Below are 11,098 nucleotides of genomic sequence, written 5' to 3' on the forward strand. Positions count from 1 at the left end.
CGACTTTAAAATAAGTGTCAATAAAATGTTTAAATGAATAAACAAAGTGACAAAATCAGGAGGAAGATTGAGGATGAAGTTTATACATTGTTCAATTAAATATATATGTAGATACAGTATATATAGAAAATACTTTATACAGTTTATATTTATAATATGCATTATATATAATGATATATAGATATATAGATATAGATATATAGAGAGAGACCTTTTAAACTTCCAAATCACAGGCATGAAGTGGAGGAGAACAATTCAGAGAAAGAGAGATAAAACAATAAAACAACAATAACAAATAAAAATCCAGGAAAAACATAGCATAAGGTAATAGAATTATAATCAAACACATTAACAATTAGAATATATGAAAATCAATTAAACATTAAAGTCAAAATTCTGATACTGGATTACCTACAACATCACTATATTTACCAAAGACAAGTTTATAACACAATGAGACAGAAATGTTAACATAAAATGATGGGGAATAAGACCAGGCAAATATTTACCAAAACAACGCTTTGATAGAAATAAAAGACAAAAAATATGAATAAGGATAAAACATGATCTTATTCATTCATAAAGGAAACAATGGTCTAAAAAGACATAACAATCATAAGTATGAATATTTCTTAAAATAAAGTCTCAAACATCAAGGCCAAAACCTGACAAAAATAACAAGAAGAAAATAAAAAATAGGTAACACCTTGGATTTCCACATACTTCTTTCCGAAAATACATAGAATATTAGTAGGGATGTAGGTTAAAACAACACAATTAACAATCTTGATTTAACAGATATATGTAGAACCATTACCTAACAAATGGAGAAAGTGCATTTTTTAAAATATATATGAATTATTTTCAAAATTGATCCTGTAGCAATCAATAAAGGAAGCTTAATGTTTTATCAGTGGGAAAAAATAGAATCTTGTAGAAATCTCAAGGGAAGCCACTAGGGAGTTTTAAATTAGAAGCGATATGATCCTCTCAATTTTAAGGATCATCATGACTGCAGTATTGAAAAGAAGTTGTAGGACTGAAGAAGGACTAAAGATGACACAGACAGTCGAGATTACTTAATAAACGAACAGTAGGTTGAAGAAGACAGAAAAAAAATTAGTGCAAACGAAATAGTGGAAAAACTAATCATGAATGAAATACTCACTTCATAGAAATTACATAGAAACATACATAACATAGAAATATAAGTGCTATGTAGAACAAAATGGTAGTCTTCTCCAGAGTAAATGCAAAAGCAGGGATACAATATATGTAAGTTTTCTGAACTATTTTCTAGTTTAGGGGGAAAAAAATGTTAAGGGTTGGAATAAAGCCAAGAAGCTACATCAGTGTGGCAGCCCTGCTGAATCAGTTGCCTGGTAGTTTTACCACTCTCTCACGGTCTTTGAAATTAATTATGATATTGGGCTTGTTGGGGTCTTCCATATCACAATGCCTTCAAAAGAAAAAAAAAAGACCCAGTGTTTACTTACTGACATTGGGTTAATTTATCAAAAAGTTCACTTAACAAGGTAATTTATTATCTTTTACCATATATAATACAGATAATTCTAAGTTATCCAAAGAAAACAGTAAAATCTTCCATCTTCTAGAGAAAACTTAAATGGATAAGGAATTAGCAAAAGGAGAGTAAGAGAGAAAATACCTTTTGTTTAACTGCTGAGCTTTATATGAAGGGTTAGAACAGAATTTTCTGAAGTTTGGCCACTTAAAGGACTTAGACCTATTTAATGACATTCTTCTAATTTTGAAACATCTTTCCCTTCTCAAAAGAAGTGGTCACAAGTGGTAGAGTGTTAGCTAAGCTTAAAATCACTTAGATTTACAATGCAATTTTTAAAATTATAAATCAGTAAAGATAAAATTTTAAGTTGACAAATAACTGTATATATATATATATATACATATATATATATATTTATTACAAAATTTAACCACATTCTTTGTTTGCTTCTTCTTTGTCCCCCATAGAAGAATATACACACATACTTACCCTACACATTTAAAATTTTTATGATTCTAAAGGTATTTTTCCCACAATTTACATAAAGTTTCCCTGTTATCCATTAAAGTGAGTATTCTAACTCTTTTGATATTTCACAACTTTTCTGGTGGAGGCCTTAAAAATTTATAATTTCTTCCATTATGTAGTCATTTGATATAATTTAGAATTGTTGATTTTTCTCTTAACTATCCTATGTCATAGCATCATGGTGGTAAAACACCACCATCAAACTAAAAATCATATACACTGCTTAAATACTTATAAACTAGAAAATATATCATAGGAAAAATGTGACCACTAAATTGTTTGTTGAATAACATGCCTATAAAAAGAAAATAATTTAGATTTAAGCTGATAGTTACATAGAGTAAAAGAAATATTTGGATGTCCTTTGAGATTATTCATTTCAACAAAGTCTGTCATGCCCAATAAGTACCAAATGACAGTGTGGGAACATGTGAAACTGAAACTGGACTGTTAAAGAAATCTTAGCAGAAATATGGAAAATCAGAATATGAAATGTACAAACCCCAGCTAAGTCATAGACTATCATTTTCATTATCTGTCACCTGACAGCAGATTATCTACTCCTAAACTGTGTTTAAAGTATCTCATAAACTTAAATGATGTTAAGGGCAAATGTTTATATTAAAGTATCCATAAAAAGAACTAAATTTGTAAAAATGAGACTCAAAATAACTTACATAATTTTAATACAAATCATTTAAAATTGAATTTTGCTTAGAGAAGAGTTTTCTAAAAAGGAATAATGAAAAACTGTATTTATTTATGTTTTTTAATTATTAATTTTTTTTTTTTTGAGACAGAGTCCACTCTGTTGCCCAGGCTGGAGTGCAGTGGTGCAATCTCGGTTCACTGCAACCTCTGCCTGCCAGGTTCAAGTGATTCTCGTACCTCAGTCTCCTGAGTGGCAGGGACTAGAGGTGCCCACCACCACACCTGGCTAATTTTTTGTATTTTTAGTAGAGACAGGCTTTCACCATGTTGGTTGGCCTGGTCTCAAACTCCTGACCTCAATAACCTGCCAGCCTCAGCCTCCCAGAGTGCTCAGATTACAGGTGTAAGCCACCATGCCCGGCCAAAAACTGTATTTACTAAAATATTTTATTACTCTTTTATATGTTTGTATACCAAAATAATGCCAGAATTATGTTTAAACAAATGTATTTATATTCATGTATTTATGGCTTTACCAGTACAAGGCATTAGGTTAAGGCTGTGTAGCAATATAAGGATGAATAAAATTACCATTTCTTTCCTTAAAAACTTCATAACAGGGAAGCCGTACACACAAGTAAATATCACAGCTTACAGACTTAAGTCTGCCATAGGTGAGGTTGATATTGTTACAGAGGTCATTTTTCACTCAGTCATTCAACAGTAATAAAGGATTGCCTCTTAAGTGCCTGCCACTCTTCTAGGTATGATGGATAGAGAGAACAAGACTAACAACGAATGAATAAATAACTTCACAGGATTATTTCAAATAATAATAAGTACAATCAATAATTTCAAAGAGTGCTACTAAGATATAGAACTAGAGAGTAGCTGATTGTCCTATTGTGGAGAGCTATGGAACTGGTGGATAATTAAGAGCTACCACCCTCTGTGTGAGCAGAAATTGTTTTGGTTTATATTTAATAGGGATCAGCCATTCAAAGCCTCTTTCTTCTACCTAATCACATTTATGGCATTGTTATAATATAAACTAAGATGCTTCCCTTAAAGTACATCATGCAATTATTTCACAGCAAGGAGCTTAGCTTTAGTTATAGATGATCATTTCTGCTTTCTTCTTTTCCTGATCCTCATAAAATATTGTTCAAGTATCTTCCCTAATATCTAGATTCTGTAACTTTCTAGACTGTTAGATTGTTATGATCTAGATTCATCAACTTTCCTTGATGCTAAAAAAGGTCCATTTGTTTCTGTCCAGAACATGTGAATATATCATGTTCACATTTAATATATTTAAAATAAATGACCTCTGAGGAATAGAGGGCTGTGCAGCTTGAACATCTCCAAGGACAAGGCTAAATACTAACTTCTTTGGCAGCAGTTCTGTCCTCAGGCAGACATATCTATGAGCTTTGCAGAGAGACTCTTGCCTCCTAGGACTCATGAAAAGGCAATGAAAATTATGGCTCTTATTCCTGCACAAATATTTCACGTGTAGAAAATGCCAGGGAAGCTTCTATTATTAGAAGTAATTGCACATTCTAGAAAAGTTGCATTTACCACATACATTTTAATTCAACATATGCCCAGCTATTGCAATTCCAGACACAACTTATATGGCATTTCAGGCTTTGTTCAATTATTCTTCCCAACTAGTTAATAAGGTAAATAGAAAAATAATTATTATCCCTATTCTCTCTAGAAGAGTAAACCAAAACTCAGGCAGGGTAACACAAACAATCATGGATTAAGAACTCTAAGCCAAGTTTTAAATTCTTAGTCCAGTGTTACTTTCACTATGTCAGAATGGCTGTGCAATGATAAATTTTATATACTGGAAGAATAATTCCTTTCACTTACATGTCTACAGTACTTGTGCATAAAAATTAGACTATCTTTCCATATAGAACTAAATGATAAATGCATAGCAGAGAGATTTTTAAACAGCGAAAATAATGTTACAATTTTCTAATTCATAGGCATGAACACTGTTTTCGAAGTAAAAGGGAAAAACAATGACTTTCTTGCAGTATTAAAATTTTACAAACCAACTTCTCTGTTTTCTAAGATTTTTCTTACAATCTTGCTTAATAGTCTTAAACCCTTTTTGTATACTACATAGCATTAGTTTTCATATAATATGTCCACAATAATTCTGATACTTAGGAAAGTATTATCTCTATTTTATGGGTAGCTTGGCATAGAAAGATTAAGTGACTGGCACATAGGCCAGTATTTTGCATTACACTGTAGTACATTTTTTGCCCTACTATATTTTGCACAAGATGAGATTTTCTGGTAGTGTTGAGACTAGTACCTCATCACACTTAATGCAGAAAATTTGATCTACACTTTGGAAAAAAAGAATAGAGAGTAGCTATTGACAAAGGGAAGCAATCCCAGGAAATTTCAAAAGTAAAATAAACTTCCTTAATTGTTGAACTCCCTTGATCAGGTTACGTCTTCATATCAAATGCTTTTGTAATGTCTAATATCAATCTCTATCACTGAAGTTACTGGCCTTGAAGAAGGGACTACTTCTTACTCACCTGTGTGTATCACAAGGATTAAATCTGGTAAATATAGGCACTCAATAAATTCTTGATGCTTAGTTAGTAAATTAATTATATTCTTTTTATTTTTAATATTTTTAGATAATAAAAATTCTTCAGTTAAAGACATTAATCTCCCTGGCCAACATAGCCAGGATAGTTAATGTGGCTGCCTAAGGTAGATATATTACAGCTTTTTCTTTATATTATTATTTAATATTTTTAGAGAGAGGAGTCTATGTTGGCCAGGCTGGTCTGGAACTCCTGGCCTCAAGTGATCCTCCCACCTCAGCCTCTCAAAGTGCTGGGATCATAGGCATGAGCCACTGTACCCAGCCCATCATCTTAACATTCTTAACCTTTATGTTTTCAAAACAATCTTAAAGATTATTTTTGCAAGGTGTTTATAATGATTTTTAAATATGGTTTTATTATTTAAGACTTCCAGTCATTAAAATATCCCAAAACTCCTGTACTCCATTGAGACCATATTGATTCCTTAGAGAATAGAAATGGTGTCTGTGATTGTATATGAGAAAAATAAGTGAAAACTGATCAACTATCCAATTGGGATGGAGGAAGAAAGAGCATGTAGCCATAAGCTTTCATCAACTACTCTTTCCTTTCAGTTGCTGAGGTTATCAGATGCTCTTCCATTCATAATCACTGAGTGACTTTTCAACTTCAAATACCATAAGATGGCCAGTGAAGAGGTCTAGATCTAATCATTTTCCTTCTAAAAACAGCTTTGTAAGATGAATGTGAAAGCAAAAGAAATTTGATCCGCCACTGATCCCACTTGGATTTAAATTAAGATACACTATGTGTTAAAATTCACTCTTAAAGCTTAAAGACAAATGCATCTGTGGTTTGCTTCCCAGGGCTTTCTTCCTAATCTGCCACTGACAGTGAAGCCAACATTGTAAGAACAGTGTGACAGTGACAATTTACCAATGACTGAGACAGGTTTTGAACAATTGCTGAAAGTCTAGGGCAGGATTTTCTTAGAATGACAGTCGCATTGAAATATCTGCAACACAAACTTTCCCAATCTAATCCCCAAGTCCTGTATTGACTGCATGATCTGTACAGTTCTTTGAAGGATCTAGGAGGAGATGCTCACCAACTCATGGATGATCTAGTGAGTCAGTGAGTGCTGGAACAAGGACATTTTTAGCATGCTAGCAGAACTCAGTGCACATCCATCAACATATCTGAGACAGATTGACAAGGACAGCCTTGTCCTCCTTAGGCAGTTACACAGTTTTATGAAATCCGTATGCAATCTTTATAGAAAATACACATGTGATTTTGCTGAATACCGGGATATTAGTCAAGTAAGCCCCCCTCATCAGTTTTCCATAGAATCCAAAAACTTAAAAGACTTGAAAAATAATAGTGCTACTGCTGACATGTGGTTGCTGTATGTTTTATGTACTGTTTTTAACAATAATAATTGAATGTGAATTGCATTTTGATTTTTTAAATAGAATCTTATATTCTAAGTTCCAGATAGAAAGAGAAAGATCTAAAACCCTGTGTGAGGTATTGGCTCCACAGATAATTGGGTAAAGAAAGAAGGCAGACCAAAGAAAATGTTTTGAATGATTTAATATACCAAAGCAAATAATAATTTAAATTACCTAATTCTAGAACTATACCCTCTTGTATATGTAAGAGTGGTAATCAAGATGATTATAAAAATGATTTAGAAAAAAGAATTTCCAAAGTGTTGAGATGATAATCCCAATTATGTCAGTTATCTCAAGGTGATGACAGACAAATTTATAGAGGAGTTAATAGGACATAAAATGTCATCAATTAAACCTTTTTAGCTACCTTCTGTGATTTATGTCATTTTTAGAGTTTAACATTTCAATGAAAGCATAGTCCAATAAACAGAGAGATACTGGGAAATTCTAGGCAGTAATTTGGAGAAAAGAATAGAGCAGCAAAGAACACAGAGAATCAACCAGCTATCCATCACCATGTTTGACTAACCGCGTGCTTCTCTCTGCAAATGCTAATCTACTTGAGAACCACCCTTTCCCTCAGATGCTGGAAGCCAGTTAATGTATAGTTTTAATTTAACGTTTCCACATGTTCCCAAGGTCTTGTGTTTCCTCTTTTGAATAGAAACCTAGATAGACAGGCTGGCAGACACACCCTTTCCACAATGTTGGAACAAAATTTAAAGCAGTGATTACCAGATGAAACTTGAGTTTCTTTCAGTGTTTGGTGAAATGAGAAAAAAGAAAAAAAGGACAACATAGTGAATTTTAAATAAAATCAACTGTATTTTTTTTTTTTGTAATTTGTACTTTTTCACTTTTAAAATACCCTTTATAAGGTGGGAACAATAGACACTGGGGATTCCATAAAGGGGGAGGGATCCTAGGGGGCAAAGGTTGAATCTATTGTGTACTGTGTTCACTATTTGGGTGACAGGTTCAGTGGAAGCCCAAACCTCAGCATCACACAATATATCCATGTAACCATCCTACATATGTACCCCCTAAAATAAAAAAATAAATAAAAATTAAGTTAACATAAAAAATGTGCTTTATACAAATAAAAGAGGCTAATTAAAAGAAACCATTTGATTTTTTATCTTGACAAAATGAAAATTTTGAAGCTATGCTGCCTGTCTTCCCAGTTTTATTTTTATTGATCTCAGAAAGCTAAAAGTCTTGGAAAAACTGGTTTAAAGTTTCATATGGAAATAAACATGTTGCCTATGGAAAAGTATAGTTAATCCAGATTATTATTTTAGTAAATACAGAACTTTTTCTGTCATCCTATATATCCTTCATTAGTATATAAGCCCTAAAGTGTGTTTTTTGTGAATTTCTAACTGTGTGTATCCGTATATGTTTTTGTCTCTATTTCCATTTTTTTCTCCCTGTGACTCTTCTAAGCATCTGCCCATATTTGCATAAACTATCATTAAAACAGCTCTGTCCAAACGTCTGAATCTGGGATTTTCTTGCTCAGTATAGCTAAATGTAAATGACAAAAGAAGGCAAACATTTTAAATCAAATGCCCTCTAAATCAAGTTCTTGATCACTTACTACTCTGTAAATAGAGCTGTAGTCTAAGTTTGAACTGAAAGAACAAACTGCATTCAGGGATGGAAAAGGGGGTTACCCCCACCATAAAGCAGGGGCTTCTAAGGGTCCGGCCCACCACCCACAGTAAGAAATCCATTTTACATTAAAGCTTGAAAGCACATTCACAGAAATACAACTAAACATCCGCAGCTTAACAAACATCTTGTGAAACAATACTTATCCTTATTTAGTGCAATGCACGCTCACATTTTTTATTCTATCATTTTTAAGCTGACCACAGTTGCCATATTGATTTCATGACCCACTTATGTGTCATGGCTCACAGTTTGAAAAATATTGCCATAAAGCATACATCATAAGGGTGCTATTAAATTACATAGCAGCATAAAGTTCAACAGAATTCTCTTAAATCAATATAAAATTAGAATCTGGGCCCTAACAAATAATTTTCTAGTGTGTTTCCATTGAATTCCTAAGGGAAATAATCAGATATTTTTAACTCACCTTTCCTGATGTCCCTTTCATCTGATCTGATTGTCTCTATCTCAACTTTCCTCGATTATTCTCTAGATAAATATCTTCTAAAGTAGGAGGAGAGAAAAGATAAATAAAAGCTTTATTTTTTTAAGGTAAACTCTGAGGATCCTAGTTTCAGTATTGATGATGATTCAGATACTGGCTTAAGATTCTCAATTATATAAATTTAGGAGAAAGTGTTCTTAAAAATTACTAAAGAAAGGAGTTACCTTAAATTTCCTATTTCATGTTTGTATAATAAATTATCTGCAATGTTTCCCAATTTATTTTCAAATGAGTAATAAGAGGTAATTTTAAATCTGTTACATATGTTGGTAATGTGTACATGGATATGTATTAATATGTGCATATGTACATGAACACACAACCCCACATATATATATAAAATATATATATTTTATATATAACCCCGCATATATATATATATAAAATACATTTACAGTGGCAGAGACCAAGCTTTGGAATTCAAAGTAGTTCAAGCCCTGATTCGAACTTCTTAACCACTAATTTTTTTTAAAATGAGATAATAATCACATCTGCCTCACAAGCTGCTGTCAAGGGCAAATTAAAGTCAGCAAAAATCAAAGTGTTAGTATATTGTTAGTTATTACTCTAAATTCCAAGGAATTATCTGTGTAAGTTTTTTTCTGCAGGAGTAAAAAATAAAATAAAATAAAATTAGTCTTGCTGACCATTTCAGCTGATTTCCATGTATAATCCTAATCTTATAATTCACTTCATGCATGTGAGTAGAGAAAAATAACCTCTTTAAAACAAGAAAATTGGCTGGACGGGGTGGCTAACGCCTGTAATCCCCACACTTTGGGAGGCCAAGGTGGGCAGATTGCTTGAGCCCAGGAATTCCAGACCAGCCTGGGCAACATGGCAAAACCCCATCTCTACAAAAAATACAAAAAATTAGCCAGGCGTGGTGGCACCTGCCTGGGGTCCCAGCTACTCTGGAGGCTGAGGCAGGAGCATTGCTTGAGTCTGGCAAGTCGAGGCTTCAGCGAGCTGTGTTCCACCACTCCACTCTAGCCCTGGTGACAGAGCAAGACCCTGTTTCAAAAATAAATAAATAAAAATAAAAAATAAAACAAGAAAATTATAGAGAAAAGACTAACACTATAGTTGAGGCTAGAAGGGATTCAAATTTATACTCTGGAGGCTGAGGCAGGAGCATTGCTTGAGTCTGGCAAGTCGAGGCTTCAGCGAGCTGTGTTCCACCACTCCACTCTAGCCCTGGTGACAGAGCAAGACCCTGTTTCAAAAATAAATAAATAAAAATAAAAAATAAAACAAGAAAATTATAGAGAAAAGACTAACACTATAGTTGAGGCTAGAAGGGATTCAAATTTATACTTATTTCCTAAAATCTTTAGATAATTGAAATTGACCATCAGTGATCGCTATTGAGACAATCTCCTACACTCTCAACGACTTAAATTTTCAACTTCTCTGAGTTCTCTTAAAGTAATAACCAAATATAAACTTCAATCGGTGGACTGTGTTCTGTAGACTATCCAACGCATGGGCAAACTATGGTCCCCAGGTCAAATCTAGCCCACCAAATGTTTATCTATGGCCTGCAGGCTAGGAATGGTTTTTATATTTCTAAATGGTTGGAGAAAAAGATTACAAGAAGAAAAATATTTAGTGATAGTGAAAATTACATAAAATTCAAATTTCAGTTTCCACAGATAAAGCTTCATTTGAACACAACAAAAGTCATTCATTTATATATTGTCTATGGCTACTTTCATGCTTTAACAGCAAAGTTTAGTAGTTGAAATAGATACTGTATGGTCCACAAAGCCTAACATAAAATATTTATTATCTTGTTCTTCACAGTTTGCCAACCATGGATTACAGAGCAAACAAAACAAAACCTCAAGGACAAAATGTGAGTGATGCTTATTAGCACATTAATCTAATATACTTCATATTTCAAAATACAGTAAAGATAATTTTTCACCATAACTGTGTCTTATATTTGAGATAGAGTATACACCCTTGAACTACATAAACTTAATTACTTTAAAACTATAGTAACAAAATAAAGAGCATACTGTTTTGAACTAAGATACGTTAGTGTGCTTCAAAATCTAGTAAAGAAAAAAGGTTTTTTATTCTCTAATAGTGTATAGTACACACCTAGGTAATGAAATTAGTTAAATATTATTATTTTTATAGTGGAATGGATCCCAAT

The 11,098-nt window shown here is 32.8% G+C and overlaps 1 long non-coding RNA gene across 1 annotated transcript, besides 1 other annotated feature; it reads right to left on the minus strand.

Annotated features, from left to right (window-relative positions):
- Window positions 1-226: 226 nt before the first annotated feature.
- Window positions 227-10,885, minus strand: LOC105377367 (uncharacterized). The gene is made up of 3 exons (XR_939075.2): window positions 10,014-10,885; window positions 8,857-8,933; window positions 227-1,459 (listed from the first exon to the last, which is right to left on the minus strand). It is a non-coding gene; the product is annotated as an uncharacterized LOC105377367 (long non-coding RNA).
- Window positions 6,240-6,409: an enhancer, noted in NCBI's record as "experimental_72110 CRE fragment used in MPRA reporter constructs". NCBI's record gives its function as "activates a minimal promoter by MPRAs in K562 erythroleukemia cells, with activity observed for both the introgressed and non-introgressed 4:112632653 variant alleles {active_cell/tissue: K562}" and the evidence as "EXISTENCE:reporter gene assay evidence [ECO:0000049][PMID:34662402]".
- Window positions 10,886-11,098: the final 213 nt, after the last annotated feature.

This window comes from Homo sapiens, chromosome 4, assembly GCF_000001405.40.
Source record: "Homo sapiens chromosome 4, GRCh38.p14 Primary Assembly".
Lineage (NCBI taxonomy): Eukaryota > Metazoa > Chordata > Mammalia > Primates > Hominidae > Homo > Homo sapiens.